General features: G+C 46.7%; 1 long non-coding RNA gene across 1 annotated transcript in view; it reads left to right on the top strand.

Moving 5' to 3' along the window:
• The window catches only part of ITFG2-AS1 (ITFG2 antisense RNA 1), a 70,299-nt gene that overhangs the window by 39,786 nt on the left and 11,728 nt on the right, over positions 1-18,785 (top strand). Inside the window, exon 3 of the long non-coding RNA NR_146317.1 lies at positions 1,232-1,286. This is a non-coding gene — a long non-coding RNA (ITFG2 antisense RNA 1). The remainder of the gene's footprint in view (positions 1-1,231; positions 1,287-18,785) is intronic.

Raw genomic sequence — 18,785 nt, 5'->3', positions numbered from 1 at the left:
GTCATGTAAATGGAGAGGAGAGGGAGATAGGGAATGAGTAGGAAGGCACCCTCACCAAGCCAATTCAGGCTCAGACCCCTGTCCTTCAGTTCCATTTGGGTTCTTTAAAACCAGAGAAGAGTTTGAGAAGTGGAGAGGTGGTGCCTAAATGCCCCCTTCTGAGCCTGTTCTGTGGGCGGCACTGTTGTGTCCTCAGGGCTCCAAATGACACTGACTCAGGCCCCAAGAACCCACAGGTTTCTTGGGAGGAGAAAGCCTTGGGCTTCATGGCTGGAGTGGGACCTGAGAAGCTGTATTTTTAAGCAGCTCTGCAGTCAGGGGTGCAGGCAGCAGAGACTCCCAGCTCTGGATGGTGTAGGACAGTGCGTTGGGATAGCTGCAGCAGGGCATGCTGGTTTTGAGTGTTAAATAGAGAACAATGCATCAGCCTGAAAAACAAGGGCCCAATTTCCAGAAGGGTCACAGGAGGCTGGGCTCTTGAGGGCTGGGCCCTCAGGACTTGCCAGATTGCTTCCTGGCTTTCCCTACAGAGGCCAAAACACGAGACCTTTCCTTCACTTGGATTCCCCTCCACCAACACTCCTGCCAATTTCAGTATCTGCGGGCATATGAAGTATGGGAAGTAAGTTCTTGGAGTTCTCCAGGAGGATGACAGAGCTGGAGTGGATCGGAACTTCAGAGCAGAGGACAGAAGTGGGCAGGTCCAGTCACGGGTGGTCTGTCACAGCCACAGCACCCACTGAAGAGTCACAGTGGACTTGGAGTCAGGAGGCCTGAGGTCCTTGAAGACCTCCCTGACCTGCTCTGGTCCACTGTGTGCTCACCTGGAACAAGAGGCCATCCTGCAGCCCCTTCCTGTCATGCATGTGATGGTCTGTGACCCAAAGGTACACATGCCCCTGCTGAGCTTCATCAAGACGCTGGGGCAGCACAGCTACATGACTCTGCCCCAGGGGAACATCATCATCCACCACCTTGTTGGGCTCAGCCAGCCAGAGCCCTCAGTGAGCAGGACCTGGTGCAAGTGAGGGGACCGAGGGTGGAGTGAGCCAGGGGCAGGGGACAGAGAAGGGAAGGGGTGGGAGCAGAGACACAGAATAGGGGCCTGGCTGGCCTGACAGGGAGGTGCTTTGGCATCCACACCCCTGATCAGTGGGCCAGGGGAGGCCAATACCTGGGAGATTCAGTTGGCATTGGTTCCATGTCTTGATCCTTTCTTTTGTTTCTCCAGAATGAAGAAGATACCCAGCAGATGTGTGCCAAGATTCTACAAATGGTACATACAGGTAGGGCCAAAGAGGCCTCTCCATTTCCTCCTCCCCTGCCTCCCAAGATCACTATTCTGCCCCCTTAGACTGCCTTCTTCCTCCCTCCCCTCCATCTAGCCCCTTGTAGTGTCTCTTCCTCCCCTTCTGATCTCCATCTGTTTCTGCTCAAAGGTCGGGGTCTCTTCTGAGACGTGACTCAGTGGAGCGAAAGACGGGCATTGAAGGTAACTCTGGAGACCTGAGTTTGAGTTCCTCGGCCAGTTTCTAGCTGTGGACCCTTGAGTCCCTCGGCCAGTTTCTAGCTGTGGACCCTTGAGTCCCTCGGCCAGTTTCTAGCTGTGGACCCTTGAGTCTGTAGGTCAGTTTCTAGCTATGGACCCTTGAGTCCCTCGGCCAGTTTCTAGCTGTGGACCCTTGAGTCTGTAGGTCAGTTTCTAGCTATGGACCCTTGAGTTCCTCGGCCAGTTTCTAGCTGTGGACCCTTGAGTCTCTAGGTCAGTTTCTAGCTGTGGACCCTTGAGTCCCTCGGTCAGTTTCTAGCTGTGGACCCTTGAGTACATTGCTCTCTGGGCTGCACTTGCCCCTTCTGTAGGAGGACTGTGAATTCCTCTCCTCCTGGAGGCACAACTGCTCTCCCTCCAAGCAAGCCCTGTCTCCTGACCTTTAACATTTCCTCTTCTCTGGAATGTTCCCCAGTGAAGGCGATAACAAGTCGCACAATTTCAAATTTTAAGAAGCCCCTCTGTTTAAGCACGTCCTTCCTAGTGTGATTTTCTTTTATTTATTTATTTATTTTATTATACTTTAAGTTCTGGGGTACATGTGCAGAACGTGCAGGTTTGTTACATAGGTATACATGTGCCATGTTGGTTTGCTGCACCCATCAACTCGTCATCTACATTAGGTATTTCTCCTAATGCTATCCCTCCCCTAGCCCCCCACTCCCCGACAGGCCCTGGTGTGTGATGTTCTCCTCCCTGTGTCCATGTGTTGTCATTGTTCAACTCCCACTTATGAGTGAGAACATGTAGTGTTTGGTTTTCTGTTCTTGTGTTAGTTTGCTGAGAATGATGGTTTCCAGCTTCATCCATGTCCCTGCAAAGGACATGAACTCATCCTTTTTTATGGCTGCATAGTATTCCATTATGTATATGTGCCACATTTTCTTTATCCAGCCTATAGTGATTTTCATAAGGACCTTGGTTACCTTTTAGCAATAAGGGGTAAGAGAGGAGAGAGCGAGAGAGGGAGAGTCAGAGATGGAGTCAGAGACTCTGTGAGCACATGGGAAGAGCGGGCTGTGTGTCCAGGCCTCTACTGCCCCTCCAGGAAAGGGATCCAGGGTTGTGGGGTTGGAGAACTCATGACGGGGACTGATTTGGGCTTGGAGTTGAGGTCCTTGCGTGTCGCCTGCCAGGTGTCCCTGCCGGTACTCATAAACCTTCTATGCCAACCAAGCCACATCTCGGCCTTCGTGGTCCTCAGCAAGGCAGCCAGGAAGGTGGCTCTGCAGGCCCACTCCCTGGGGCCGCACCCTTACCTCAGCAGCTTCCATGGCAGGCGTGAGTACAAGGCTGGGTGGTCTATGGGGAGGGGCAGCCAGGAAGGCTCCAGCTGCTGCAGGCATGGAGGGCAGTGGGGGCAGGCTGAGGCCCTGCACGGGTGTGAGATGGGGAGAGGGTACAGCTCTGCGGTGGGGATGAGGCCACAGATTGAGCCAGGGCCAGGATGAGAAGGGGAAGGTCAAAGGTCAGGGAGCAGCCTGAGGCAATTAGCCCCTGGCAGTGGAGAAAGGGAGCCTCCTTTGGAAGGGAGCCACCGTAGAACCAGTTCCTTGTCACCTTTAGTCCTCTTTTCACAACACTGGCATCCAGGTGGAAAAGCACTCTTGTTAATTACAAACTCATGGCTGCACTGACAGTCCTGCTCCTTTGTCCTCTTTTTGCCCCACTCTGAGCCTGGCTCTATACTTGTCCCATCCTTGACCTCTAAACCCAGTGGGGCTAGAGAAGCGGTGAGGGTGTCTGTTCAGCACTTCCTCAGTGGTGTGGTCACTGTTGTTAAAGCTGAAGATGCAGTGGTGGTCTTTTTTTTTTTTTTTTTATAGCTGCTTTATTTGTAGTAGCCCAAACTGGAAGTAAACCAAATGTCTATCAAGAGGTGAACAGGTGAAATGTTCCATTATATCTGTGCAACATAGTGAACAATATAAGGAAATGAGCAACATACTGAGAAATATAAATAAATGAATTAATTATACATAGCAACATTGATGAATCTCAAAATAATGATGCTCTGTAGAAAAATAAGACAAAAAAGAGCACATGTTTCATAATTAGATTTCTATAAAATTCTGGAAATGACAATCATTTAAAATCATATAAAATTCTGGAAATGACAAAATTCTAAAGCTTACCCTATAGTGCATAATGAAAGACTGAATATTGTTTTCATAACTTTATGAACATGGCAAGAATGCACTCCCCTATCACTTCTATTCTGAAGGTCCCAGGCATTAGAATAAAGCAAGAAAAAGGAATAAAAGCATAATAATTTGGAATGGAAAAAATAAATATTTCTCTACCTGCAGGTAACTTGAGTGTTTACATAGATAATACTAATGAATATACAAAATCTATTGATTTAGCATTTGTAATATAGAAGTTAATGACTAAAAATTTATTTATATATATATATATATATATATATATATAAGCACGAGGTGATTGGAACATGCAGTGGTGGTCTTTAGGCTGAGTGGAGATGTCACAAGGCCTCGGCATGGACACTGATGCTCATTTCCTCTTTGCCTGTACTCCTGCTCTGAAGAACTGATGGGGGATGCCAGTGGGGGCTGGAGGTGGGCTCCCGGGAGCTCACCCTTACTGTGTCTTCTTCTGTTGCCCTCTCTTTAACTCACCCTCAAAGGTCATCTCCCCACAAAGACTACTGACCCACCTTGTGGATAGTGGTGCTGAGATGGACATGGTGTCATCCATCCAATCAGTTCACAGTAGCCCAGGGCCATTCCATTCCAGGCCTGATGCCAGATATGGAGTGAGGAGGGAGGGCCGAGGGTCACGGGGGTCCTGGGAAGAGGCGCCTCAGGCCAACGGGCTTGGAGGTGGGGCCCTGGGCACGTAGTGGTAGGACTGGAACAGGGGGAGGCAGAGGACATAGGGAGGGCCTGGCTGTCTTCTCTGTGTGGCCTTGTTGTGAGCTTCTCTCTGTTGACCTGGGACAAGTCCCCCTGCCTTTCTGGACCTCCTTTTCTCAGCAAGCATGTTTTGAGTTTCTTAATTTTCCCAGTGCTGTGACAGACATAAAGAACACGTGGAGAGACAGGATGTGCACCTGGCTTCGAGGGGTTCACAGTGCTAGTGGAGAGACAGGATGTGCACCTGGCTTTGAGGGGTTCACAGTGCTAGTGGAGAGACAGGATGTGCACCTGGCTTCGAGGGGTTCACAGTGCTAGTGGAGAGACAGGATATACACCTGGCTTTGAGGGGTTCACAGTGCTAGTGAGGGAGACAAACCTGGGAGTAACCTCACCACCCACAGTTAAAGGTGACAGAGGTACTAACAAGTGCAATGGGATCTTAGCAGAGCAATGGATAACTTGGCCTCCAGGAGTCACGGAGGGCGTCACAGAGGAGGTGGCATCTGAGGGCATTTTGGGGAACTTGTTCAGCAGGTGGAAAAGAATGGGAGGGCTCAGCTTCAGCTCTACCATTCCATGGGTTTGTTCTAATTTTCTTCTTTGCCTTCATTCTTCTCTGCCTCCCATTTGCTTCTCTGGCTGTTCAGTTGTTCTCCCTGAAGCCCTACAGAGAAAAGGCATTTGGAAAAAACACCCTAAAGCTGTTATATGCTCCGCATCCCATTGCCTCCCTGCACCCCGTCATCAAGTCAAATGTGGGCCAGCTGTGGATGTGGGAGGTTCCCAAGATGTTGCAGATCCTGGAGGGTGAGGGCTTGTTTGAAAGGGAGGAGAAGTGGGGCTGGGCTGTGGGGCTGACTGTGGAAGGGATGGAGTTCCAAGCTGAGGGATGAATCTTCCTCTGGGTGAGGAGGGGAGCAGCCTCTCTGTCCCTCTGGAACGTCATCTGGGTGGATCTGCTCATGTGGGCCACACTCCATGCTGGGCAGACATGCAGTCCAGAGTCCTGTGGCTCCCGTCTCTTCTTGTGGGTGGAGGACCCCGGAAGAGTGTGGGCTTTGAACCAGACGCACCCGTGTCTGGCCCCTGCCTATCCCTTGGCCTCTGGCATCCCTCTCTATAATATGAAGTCCCCTCTCCTCAGTGGCATTCCTGGGCTCTGCTCTCTGGTCACACCTCTGTCTCATCCCAGATCTTAGGAAGTTCCTGTCGCTCTCTGAGCTGGATAGTAGAACAAAGCTGCTTCTCACCTGCTACTGGAGCATGCTCTGCCTGCCCCCGTCAGAGGTGATGCAGAAGGAGGAGTCCAGATCCACAGAGGGACAGGCCAGTGTGGTAAAGAGCTCTTTGAAGGCTGTCAACTGTTGTTGTTTTTGAGAGGGTGGGAGGCTGTAGGCTTGGAAGTTTTATGTAAGGCCCTCTTGTCATCTCTAAGAAAAACAAAAAGGAAGGCCTCATCAGAGGAAGGGCTGCTAGGTGAGGCAGCCTCTCCTCCACCCAGGAGATTATCATTCTTCCACGGGGCACTCATTGATGATCACTGTGCCCCTGGAATATCTGGCCCAAAGGTGGACACTGACTCCCTCCCTTTATTTATTTCGTTATTATTATTATTATTATTATTATTATTATTATTATTATTTTTGAGATGGAGTCTTGCTCTGTTGCCCAGGCTGGAGTGCAGTGGCGTGATCTCGGCTCACTGCAACCTCTGCCTCCTGGGTTCAAGTGATTCTCCTGCCTCAGCCTCCTGAGTAGCTGGGATTACAGGCATGTGCCACCACACCCAGCTAATTTTTTGTATTTTTAGTAGAGACGGGGTTTCACCATGTTGGCCAGGATGGTCTGGATCTCCTGACCTCGTGATCCTCCCACCTTGGCCTCCCAGAGTGCTGGGATTACAGGTGTGAGCCACCGTGCCCGGCTGACTCGCTCCCTTTATAGCTGTCATACAGCTGAATCCAGGCTGGAAGGTACAGACATGACTTTCCTCAAGGCCCATGGGTGAGCCACTGCAGGGAACCCAGGGGTAGGAGACTGAGTCCCTTTCCTGCAGGGCCACCAGGGTTTCCTGGAGGGAGGGCAGGGGGTTCGTGTCTTCATCTGCATTCTTCTGTTTTCCTCCTAGGAACTCTTTCCTGCTCTCTGAGTATTCCTTTATCTTGACTGGTTGTTCCATTTTATTGATGCTATAGTTGCTTGGATTTCTTTGAGGATATTAAGAAGAATTTTTTGAAACAAGGGAGGGCAGGGTTTGTGTGTTCATCTGCATTCTTCTGTTTTCCTCCTAGGAACTCTTTCCTGCTCTCTGAGTATTCCTTTATCTTGACTGGTTGTTCCATTTTATTGATGCTATAGTTGCTTGGATTTCTTTGAGGATATTAAGAAGAATTTTTTGAAACAGAATGTTCTACTGTTTATGAAAGAGTTTGGTTTCTTCAGGGACTGTTGGCTTCGTGTGGTTCTGGTGGTGGTGGGTGGGCGTTTGACAGGGCTTCCTCGTATTTGGGGCAGGCTGGGAATCCTGGCTGCCCAGCAAGATTGGCTTTAATCTGGAGTTGGGTTTCTTTTGAGGACTTCGTTCTGCAGAGTGTGGTCTTTCCTTTTCTTTCACGCTTCTTGCCATTATTCGGGCCCACAAGTATCTTGTAGGAGACCTTCCAGGCATATCGCCTACTTTCTTGATAAGGTTTTGGTTTAAAGGCAAATACTCACTTTTTCTGGGCAGGTCCACATTATTCATGAAAGGGCAAGCGGGAGAAATGCCCTGTCCTGGCGTTTGTGATTGCCCTGCAGATGGCCAGGCCGGCCTTCTTTCTTCCCTGGTGCCAGGGACCTCCTAGTCATCGCTACTGACCCAAGCAGCACGCACCAGGAGCAGAGCCCCAGAATGAGCACAGCCTAGGGTGTGGGGAGCGCAGGGCTGGGGGAATCTGTCAGGGAAGTCTCAACCCAGTAGGATGAGCTATATCCCAAGCAGACATTTGTGCTTTTGTGCAAAAAACAGAGGACTCCATTCAAGTTCACAGCAGGAAGGCAGCACTTGGAAATGTATGGGACAAGTTGCAGGGCAGAATTTAGCAGGGAAGCCTTCCTGGGGGAGAGAAAGAGCCCAGCAGAGTTTAGGAGGAGGAAGGGGCAGTATTGAGGCAATACTCTGAGTCCCTCTTTCCTCCTCAGTCACTGTTCAGGAAGTCCCCACGGTCTCTCTGCAGGCTCGTGGGAGCTCCCAGAACTGAGACACACTGATCCAGGCCTGCTTGGAGGTCAGTGGGATAAGGCCCTTGAAAGTCGGTGTATTGGGTTCCTAGGGTTCTCATAATAACACGCCATAGCTGGCTGGCTTTAAACATCAGGTGTTTATTGTCTCAGTTGTGAAGACTAGAAGTTCAAAGTCAAGGTGTTGTCAGGGTGAGTCCTACTGGAGGTTCTGAGGCAGATCAGCTCCATGGCTCTCTCCTGGCTTCTGCTAGTTCCTGGCACCCTCTGTTCCGGGCCTTGTAGACACATCACTCAAAGCTCTGCCTCCATTTGCACAGGGCACATTCTCGTGTGTGTGTGTCTGTGATGTGTGTGATGTGTGTGTGTGTTCTCTTCCTAATAAGGACAGCAGTTATTGTACTAGGTAGGGCCCACTCTAATCCACTGTGAGCTCCCCTTACCTTGATCTCATCTGCAAAGACCCTCTTTCCAAACAAGGTCACCTTCTGGGGTTTAGGTCGACATGAATTTTGTCAACCCTGTAGAGCTGAGAACAGAGCAGTCAAGGGCGGGAAAAGAGATCAACCTGAGGATGAAGCTTGGGCACAGAACTTTGAGAGAAGTGTTATCAGGGTTAGGGTCTAAGCAATGTTGGTCTGCTCCCTTGGAGGAGAATTTTCCCTTCTTCCTTCTGCTCTTTAGCTAGGGCTGTGGCCACCTCCTCTCTGCTCCCTCCAAGGAATTAAAGGTTAGAAGCATGGGCTCTGCACTTCCCTACCCTGCAGGTCCAGAGCCTGGTTCTCCTGTTAGCTGTGTGGCCTTGGGGACTTATGCCACTTCTCCCTACTCCAATTTCTCTGGGAAAATGGGAGAACAGTAGTACCTGGTTTATGCAGCTGTTCTGCAACTGAGTGAGACAATGTTTATAAAGTACTTGGCTCAAAGGGTTGAAGTTCAGGTTCAGGCAGTTTGCCTATGTTTAAATTGGCTTGGCTGTGTTTTTAGAGATTTGGCTCACTTTATGCTAAGGTCAATGTGATATTCTGGCCTTCTCTTGATTACCCTGTTCCCCACTTACCACATGAAGCTTCAGTTTTCTTTGCAGTTCTTTTGTTGTCAGAATTGAGATCACTCAGGGTTACAGACAGAGTATTTTGTTCAGAAGTTACTGAGGTAATCGTTTTCTGTGTGGTTACAGCATGAAATTGATATAATTTAGATTTTAAAATTGGTGTTAAATTTTAGAATTTCTGTTCTCCTTTCTTAATAGAAGATATTGGTGATGTAAAGATTTACATAATTAAAAAGTTACAACTACAGTTGTACTCAGAGTAGTTTTGCTCCTATCTGGATCCTCTTAACCTGTTCCTCAGTCACCCCTAGGGAGAACCATATTCATTGGCTTCTGATTTGTCCTTGCCATTTTTATTGTGGAAAGAAGCAAATGTGTGTTTCTGGTACATTCTGATTTCCCTTTTTTTCTCACACAGTAGGTAGTGCAGTCTCTCCAAGTGCTCTGAATCTTGCTTTTATCACTTATGCACACCAGGTGGCAAATATATTCCTTATTTTTTATTGTTGCATACATGGTGTGGATGGACTCTAGTTTATTTGATCAGTCCCCTATGGATGGGCATTGGGCTGACTCTAATCAATGATCATGTTGCTACTATCTGCTAGTTCTCTTCTTAACTTTTTTTTGGATATAATTGTGGATTCACAGTTAGTTGCAAAAGTAGTAGAGAGAAAACCAGGGCATTGGCATCGGTTGGCTATTGTTAAGACTACGGACCTTGTTAGACTATGGACCTTATGCAGCTTTCAGTGTCTGTATGCGCTGTGTGTGTATTCTACGCAAGGTGATCTCATGTGTAGTATCTTGTAACCATCTCCACCCCTGCCATTGCCATAGAACTGTCTCGTCACCGAGTGGAACTCACCTCCCTTGTGATTCTCCTTTTGAGACTCATCCCCACACATTGCCCGTGTGTCCTTGGCAGCCACAAATCCCTTCTCTGTTCTCCTCCATCTCTAGTTTTGTCATATGGAGGATGTTATGTACATGGAAGCGTGTAGTGTGTAACCTTCTGTAAGACTGGCCTTTTTCACCAAGCTTCCTGCTCTTATGATCCTCCACGCCGTTGCCTGTATCAGTAGTTTATTTATTTTTACTCTTGTGTGGATATCCTAGAGTTTGTTGACTCCTTCACCATTGAAAGATATTTGGGTGGTTTCCACTGTGAGGAATAAAGTTCTTAGGAACATGCATGTACAGGTTTTTGTGAACCTGAATTTTCATTCTTTGGGGTAAATGCCAAAGAGTACAATTGCTGAGTCACATGGGAAGTCCATGTTTGTTTGTTTGTTTGTTTGTTTTTTGAGATGGAGTCTCGCTCTGTCACCCAGGCTGGAGTGCGGTGGCACGATCTCGGCTCACTGCAAGCTCCGCCTCCCGGGTTCACGCCATTCTCCTGCCTCAGCCTCTCCGAGTAGCTGGGACTACAGGCGCGCGCCACCATGCCTGGCTAATTTTTTGTATTTTTAGTAGAGATGGGGTTTCACTGTGGTCTCGATCTCCTGACCTCGTGATCTGCCCGCCTCGGCCTCCCAAAGTGCTGGGATTACAAGCGTGAGCCACCGCGCCCGGCCCATGTTTGGTTTTTTAAGAAACTGCCAAATTCTTCTCTAAAGTGGCCGTACCATTTTTCAGTCACACAGCGATGTATGAGATGTTCAGTTTTCTTGCATTCCTGCTAGCACTTGGTTGTTATTTTTTTTTTATCTTATTCAGTCTAACAGGCATAGTGATAGCTCATTGTGGTTTTATTTTGCATTTCTCTAATGGCCAGTGGTGCTGACCATATTTACATGTGCACATTTTCTGTTCAGCTACTGTGTTTGGTGAAATGTCTGTCCATGTCTTTTGTCTGATTTCTCATGGGATTTTTTTTAAATGTGTTGAGTTTTGAGAGTTCTTCCTAGATTCCAGATACAAGTCCTTTGTCAGATACGTGGTTGCGGTTATTTTCAATCGGTCTGTAGCGTGTCTTTTCATCCTCTTAATAAGACCCTTCACAGAGCAAAAGGCCTACATTTTCATGAAGTCCACTTTATCAGTTTTTATTTCTATGAATTGTTATTTTGGTGTCATCTCTAAGAACTAGGTGTTAACTATTTCCATGTTTTTCCTTACTCACTAGAGTCTTCTTTCTACATTAGGGGAAAAGGAGGTGCCTCTGCTACTCTTCCTACCCAAAGCACTGGACCCCCAGAAGCTGCATGCTGTGCTGGCCTGGCTGCCGCTCTCCCCATACTCCCCAAGCGGGGGGGCCTGGTCCCCCCTCCCACCACCTCCAGCTACACTTTCCTTTCTTAAAAAACCTAAAAGGCTAGTCCTCCTTCACTCTAAAGTTCTTTCAGGAATGCTTCTGAAACAGCATGTCTCAAACTTCGGCGAATTCCACCCAGAGTCATAAAGACGTTTCACGAGGAGACCCCCTAGATACATACATCTTTGGCAATTCAGCAAGTGTGTCACAGCACAGCACTTACCTTTGTGGCATTTGATGTACACTGATAGTTTTTATTACGCTATGCTGTGCTGTACTATTCTTTTCAGAGCCAGTCATAGCTGACCAAATGGATGTCACCACCTTCTAATGGATCTAGGTTTGCAGCTAAAATGCTCCAAAAATTCCAGCAAGGACAAAAAAGTCTCAGGCCTAGATTTGCCACCAGTGCCGTCTTCTGGGCAGCTTTATTATAAGTAATGTCATGAAACACTTGTCAATATATGTATGTGTGCACTGAGTCTCACCAGAAAATATACTTACCGTCTGTTGGTTATAGCCTAAAAAGTTTAAGAAACTATGTTTAGAAATTTTCCTTGTCAGGAAAGGCCAAACTAAAAAGGGCATTGTGTGCGTGTGTGTGTTTGTGTGTGTGTGTGTGTGTGTGTGCATGTGTGTGTTGGGGGCTCCCGTTCCTCTAAGACGATGACAGAGGCTGTGCAGGTGTTTTCTATGTGATCTCCTCTCCTCCCGCAAATTATTCCCAGAGGAGGGATCTCAGGGACCTGCCTCTGCCTCCCCAGACATGTTCCCACATTTGGGTCAGCCTGGGCAGAGGGCAGAAAAGCTCACATATCTGTGTGGCGAGCAGGCTGGGCTCACTGCAGGCCTCCCTGTCATCATTCATCTTCACTTCACAGGTCTCATCCTGAGACATCTCCTCCTGACCCACCATGGCTGCCTGGCTCTCCCGGGAGTGGCACCTACAATGTTCAAGATAGAGAAAAACATCAAGACCTGCCAGCCAGCCCTTCTCCCCTTCCCTCAGCAAGTAAAGCATCACACACGCACATATACGTACACACAGAAACACATGCACACACAAGCATAGACGCACACACACAGGTGCACACGCACGTGAACATGCATGCAGTTGCTGTGGGCTCATACTCTTGTGAGAGCCATTGAAGCCGTGGAGCCATTGAAGTGTTGAGATCGGGGTGAGGGTTGCATGTGAGAGGGCATTTGGTATAGATCCAAGGAGATCTGAGTCCTGACCCTAATTCACTTACCGTCTGGTCCAAGTCACTTAGCCCAACACATGCCTCAGTTTCCCTTTCTATGAAATTGGAGTGACATATGCCCTGCCTGACTCAGAGGCTTGTTGTGAGTCACAAATAAAGCAACAGATGAGACGGTGCTCTGAGGGTTGAAAGAGCCAGCTTTGACGGAGGGTCCTGAGTCCATAAAGGGCAGAATGGGCCCATGAAGAGGCTGCTCCCCGCCAACCCACAGCTGTGACAGCTGGGCCTTTGGCATTTGTTTGGCTGTAGCCGAGGTGTCCCTGGCATCCTACTTTGATGATGCCCTTGATTCTGAATCTGGATCCCTGGAGTAAAGACCCAGAGAGGAAGCCTCACCTAGAGGGGTTTGCTTTCCTGAGCAGAGGGCACTGAGCCTGAGTCCCTGCTAAGCCTGAATCCCTCCTGAGCTCCAGACCCTCCCACACCAGGGCGTGGATTTCCCTGCTGGGACAGGGTCTTCTGCTCACCGGGTTGTGTCTTCTTTAGCTCTGGACCATGAACTCTTCCTTTTCCTGTCTGAGCTCAGCTCAGTGCCTCCCTCCATCTTTATCCTCAGACCCCAGAGGGCATCAACATTGGGAAAAGATCCCAGTTCATCCTTTCGGAGCTGAGCACTAGTCAGTGCCCTGTCTCTGAGCATCTCAGGCAGGGTAGGGGCAGTTTTGTCTCAGGGAGGCCTACAGATCACTACTGGCCCCGCAGTGGGAAGGAAAGATGAGAGGTGGGAGCTCCAGAAGGATTGGGAGGGGAGGGAGGTGGAGTGGGCTTTGGCGAGGCACGTGGGGGAGGGGCTGGAGACGCAGAGCAGCAGCAGGCAGGCAACAGCACTTCTGGGGGCCACAGGGCACAGGACATGCTGGTCCATCCTCAGCACAAGCAATACTGGCACTGGAGCTGCCCTTAGCCTTGAGCTGCGACACAGAGGACAAGGCCTGGGAGCTGGGATGTGGGCTATGCTCCTCTTCTTCACCAAGCTGAAGCTTGGCTCCTTGTGTTGTTTGTACCATCTGCAGTGGGCAGAGGGAACCGACATTTCATGAGCACTGACTGGGTGCTGGGCACTGTGCCGGGTACTTTGCATGTATTTTGCTCTGTGGAGAGATGTATCTGTGGGGCAAGGAAATCCCCTGGGACCTCTCCCCTAGCTCCTCTAAACCTCCCTCTCCCCTTATGTCACAGAGAACAAAGCTTCACATGAAAATGCCCTTAGAGGGCAGGGACTTAATTCACCCTGAGATGCTAAAGACGGACATGGAGCCCTCCTTAAGCAGAAGCTTCATGAGGCCAGAGGGGAGAAGGGGTGTGGGGACTCAGCACATCCTCAAATTTGGCTAATTAAACCTGGAATTGATTGAGACATGTCTCAGTCACTCTTCTTAACAAGGTCAACCGAGGCACAACACCAAAGTCCACCTTTCGTGCCCACTTTTAAATAACAAAGGAAATTACAAAATATTTTGCGCTGAATGAAAATGAAAACAAAATTTGTGAGCTCCAGCAAAAGCAGTGCTTGGTAGGAACTTTACAGCTCTAAGTGCTTAAATTAATAAAGAAGAAAAGTCTAAAATTAATACTCTAAGTTTCCACCTTAGAAACCTAGTTTAGTTTCCATTTGCAGCTGTAATAAATTACCACAAACACAGTGACCCAAAACTACACAGATTTAGTATCTTACAGTTTCAGAAGCCAAGAGTCTAAACTGGGCTTCATCTGGCTGAAATAGAGGTATTGACAGCACTGTGCTCCTTCTGCAGGCTCCAGGGGAGAATCTGTTTCCGTCCTTTCCCAGCATCCTCCGGCTGCCAGCATTCCTTGGCTTCTGGCTCGCAGCAGCAATCACATCACTCCGACCTCTGCTTCTCTGGTCACATCCCATCTCTGGCTTGTTTTTTTTTTTTTAATTTTTTACTTCCATAGGTTTTGGGGGAACAGGTGGTATTTGGTTACATGAGTAAGGTCTTTAGTGGCGATTTGTGAGATTCTGATGCATCCATCACCCAAGCAGTATACACTGAACCCAATTTGTAGTCTTTTGTCCATCATCCCCTCCCACCCTTTCCCCCTGAGCCCCTGAAGTCCATTTTATCCTTCTTATGCCTCTGCATCCTCTTAACTTAGCTCCCACTTAGGAGTGAGAACATACGATGTTTGGTTTTCCATTCCTGAGTTACTTCACTTAGAATAATAGTCTCCAGTTCCATCCAGTTGCTGTGGATGCCATTAATTCATTCCTGTTTATGGCTGAGTAGTATTCCATCATACATATACCACAGTTTTTTTTATCCACTCATTGATTGAGGGGCATTTGGACTGGCTCCACATTTTTGCAATTGCGAATTGCGCTGCTATAAACATGCGTGTGCAAGTATCTTTTTCATATGATGACTTATTTTCTTCTGGGTATATATCCCTTAGTGGGATTGATGGATCAAATGACAGTTCTACTTTTAGTTCTTTAAGGAATTTCCTCACTGCTTTCAATCATGGTTGTACTAGTTTACATTCCCACCAGCAGTTAGAAATTTTCCCTTTTCACTGCATCCATGCCAACATCTATTACTTTTGGATTTTTTGATAATGGCCATTCTTATAGGAGTAAGGTGGTATCACACTGTGATTTTGATTTGCATTTCCCTGATCGTTAGTGATGTTACTCGTGTTCTCATGTTTGTTGGCCATTTGTATATCTTCTTTTGAGAATTGTCTATTCATGTCCTTAGCTCACTTTTTGATGGGATTGTTTGCTTTTTTCTTGCTAATTTGTTTGTGTTCCTTGTAGATTCTGGATATTAGTCTTTTGTTGGATGTATAGATTGTGAAGATTTTCTCCCACTCTGGATTGTCTTTTTACTCTGCTGATTGTTTCTTTTGCCGTGCAAAAGTTTTTTAGTTTAAGTAAGTCCCACCTGTTTCTCTTTGTTTTTGTTGCATTTGCTTTTGGGTTCTTGGTCATGAAATCTTTGCCTAAGCCAATGTCTAGAAGGGTTTTTCCAGTGTTATCTTCTAAAATTTTTATTTTTTCAGGTCTTAGATTTAAGTCCTTGATCCATCTTGAGTGGATTTTTGTGTAAGGTGAGGGATGAGGATCCAGTTTTATTCTCCTACATGTGGCTTGCCAATTATCCCAGCATCATTTGTTGAATAGGCCCTGCCTCCCTCTTACAAAGACTTGTGATTACTTTGGATCCACCCATATAATCCAGGATGAACTTCTCATCTCCAGACCTTTACTTTAATAACATTTTTAAAGTCCCTTTTGTCATGTACAGTAACACATTTATAGGTTCAGGGGACAAAGATATGGGCATCCTTGGGAGGTCATTCTGCCTACCAGAGAGGCAAATACCAAAATGGATAGACAAAGAAATAGAATACCTGAATAGTCCTGTACCTATTAAAAAACCTGAACGTGTAGTTTAAAAATCTTCCCACAAATAGACCTCTGGGCAGACATGGCTTCGTTCTGTCAAACACTTAAGAAAGAAATGAACCTTAACTCTTCACATTGAACACAAAAGTTAACGTGGAATGGATCATAGACCTAAACTTGAAAGCAAAAACTATAAAACCTCCAGCAAAACAAACAAACAAACAAACAAGAGAGCATGCTTATAACCCTGAATAGGCAAAGAATTTTTGATAGGACACAAAAAGCATGAAGCATAGAATAAAAATCAGTATATTTTCCATCAAAATAAAAATCTTTGCTCTTCAACAGATATTAAGACAATGAAAAGGAAAACCACAGGCTGGAAGAAAATATTTGCCATACATACATCTGACAAAGACTGCTTTCCAGAATGTAGTAAAAAGTCTTATGATATAGTTTAAATATTTGGCCCCGCCCAAATTTCATGTTGCATTGTAATCCCCAGTGTTGGAGGTGGGGCCTGATAGGGTGTTTGAGTCTTGGGGGCGGTTCCCTTGTGGCTTGGTGCTGTCTTCAGGATGGTGATGAGTTCCTGTGAGATCTGGTTGTTGAAATGTGTGTAGCACCTCCCCCCTCACTCTCTCTTGCTCCTGCCTTTGCCATTTGATGTGCTGACTCCCGCTTTGCCTTCCGCCATGAGTAAAAGTTCTGTGAGGCCTTTTCAGAAGGCACGCAGATGCTGGCACCATGCTTCCTGTACAGGTTGCAGAACCTTGCCAATTAAACCCCTTTTGTTTATAAATTGCCCAATCTCAAGTATTTCTTTATAGCAATACAAGAATGTCCTAACACATCTTACAACTCAAAAATAAGAAGGCAGACAATTCAATAGAAACAGTGGGCAAAGGAGATACACAAGTAAACAATAAAACACATGTGAAGATACTCAATGGTGTTAGTCACCAGGAAAACACTTATTAAAACCATATTCATATGCAACTACTTGCCCACTCAAATGCATTAAATAAAAAAGGGATGAAAATACCAAATGTTAGCAAGGATTTGAAATACCTGACCCTGTCATATGTTGCTGGCAAGAATTAAAAATAGTACCATCGGCCGGGCGCAGTGGCTCACTCCTGAAATTCCAGCACTTTGGGAGCCAGGTGGATAACCTGAGGTCAGGAGTTCGAGACGAGCCTGGCCAACATGACGAAATCCCATCTCTACTAAAAATACAAAAATTAGCGGGGCTTGGTGGCAGGCTTCTGTAATCCCTGCCACTTGGAAGGCTGCGGCAGGAGAATCGCTTGAATCCGGGAGATGGAGGTTGCAGTGAGCTGAGATCGCGCCACTGCATTCCAGCTTGGGTGACAGAGCAAGACCCTGTCTCAAAAAAAAAAAAAAAAAAAAGTACCATCACTTTGGAAAACAGTTTGGCAGTGTCTTATTCAGTTAAATACATATTTTTATGTAATCCAGCAATTTCAGTTCTATAATTTTAGTCTTGATAAAACAGATGAAATATGTCCACACAAAGACTTGTCCATTAATAATCACAGCCAAGGCTGGGCGTGGTGGCTCACACCTGTAATCCCAGCACTTTGGGAGTCCAAGGCAGGTGGATCACTTGAGGTCAGGAGTTTGAGACCAGCCTGGCCAACTTGGCAAAACCCCATCTCTACTCAAAATTCAAAAATTACCCAGGTGTGGCGGCGCATGCCTGTAATCCCAGCTATTCAGGAGGCTGAGGCAAGAGAAACACTTGAACCCGGGATGTGGAGGTTGCAGTGAGCCGAGATCGCACCACTGCAGTACATCCAGCGTGACAGAGCAAGACTTTGGCTCAAAAAAAAAAAAAAAAAATCACAGCCACTTTATTAAAAATAACCAGAACTTGGAAACAACCAAAATGTTCATCAACAGGTGAATACATAAGTGATGGTATATCTATTGTGAATACGACTCAAAAATAAAAGGAACAAACGAGAGATTCCCATAACAGAATGATTAAGCCTCAAAAGCACTATGCTGAGCAAAAAAGAAAGACATGAAGTAGTACATGCTGTATGATTTCCATTTATGTGAAATTCCATAAGAGGCACAAATAACATATATTGATGGAAAGCAGATCAGTGGTTAACTGGTGCTGAGGAGGGGAGGATTGACTGCAATGGGGCATGAGGTTACTTTTTGCAATAATGGAAATTTTGATTGTAGTGGTGACTACGGAGATGTATATATTTGTCAAAATTCATTGAACTGTGCAATCAAGATGAGTGCCTATTACTGGATATAAATTGTAAGTCAGTAAAGTTGATTTTTAAAAAATAACAGCAAGAAGTTAAAAAATGAAAGTTCTTGGTCCTCATTCTTAGTGATTCCAATACAGCAGGACTGATACAGGGCCCAGAAATTTGCATTTTCAGCAACCCCCATGTATAATTATGCTGCAGGCTGTTTCACTTATAGTATTTGTCTCTATCAGCACACAATCCTGGGCAACAAACCAAATAGGCAAGCAAAGAAAGTTCAGAAGAAAAGAGTTTGAGGTTTTGTGTGTCCTAGTTCCATCCCCCAACCTCCATTCTTTAGATGGAATGCTGGTCACTACCAAAGCATCCTCCAGGGTGCTGTTTCCCCCAACCGTGGGCTCAGCTGTGGATAAGCTTCCTTCATTCATTCTTTACAAAAGGAATTTTGCTAAGAAGGTACATGGGATAGAAGCAAAATAAAAACACATCAGAACTGCAGAGAAGTCATTGTATTTTCATAGCACGAATAACTTCCTATAAGGTCATGCAAGTCTGGCACTAGAAGGGGTTGGGTGGCCCAGCTCATTGGGCACATGGTACCCACAAATATGCCTATCCTGGAAGAGCAGGAGGTCAACAGGAGCCTGATGGGCCACCTGTGTAAAGAATGCAACAGCATAACAACAAATATGCTAACACCCACATCCCAGCCTTCTTCCTACCCTGCTCCTATAAAAGGGAAGAGAGGGTAATTTCCCTGCCAAATTAGATTAAACCATACTGCTCTGTTTCTGTTTGTTAGTCTTTTCCTGCTATCTGCTGTATCTTCCCCATCTGTGGCCCACTGTTGTCTCTACCTGTTGAAATCCTTCTCATTCTTCATGGTCCAGCTTGAATAACACCTCCATCAAACCTTATCAGATCATCATAGTCAAAT

This window comes from Homo sapiens, chromosome 12 (genome assembly GCF_000001405.40).
Source record: "Homo sapiens chromosome 12, GRCh38.p14 Primary Assembly".
Lineage (NCBI taxonomy): Eukaryota > Metazoa > Chordata > Mammalia > Primates > Hominidae > Homo > Homo sapiens.
The sequence above is the reverse complement of the archived record's forward strand: the minus strand, read 5'-3'. Positions and strand labels throughout refer to the sequence as shown.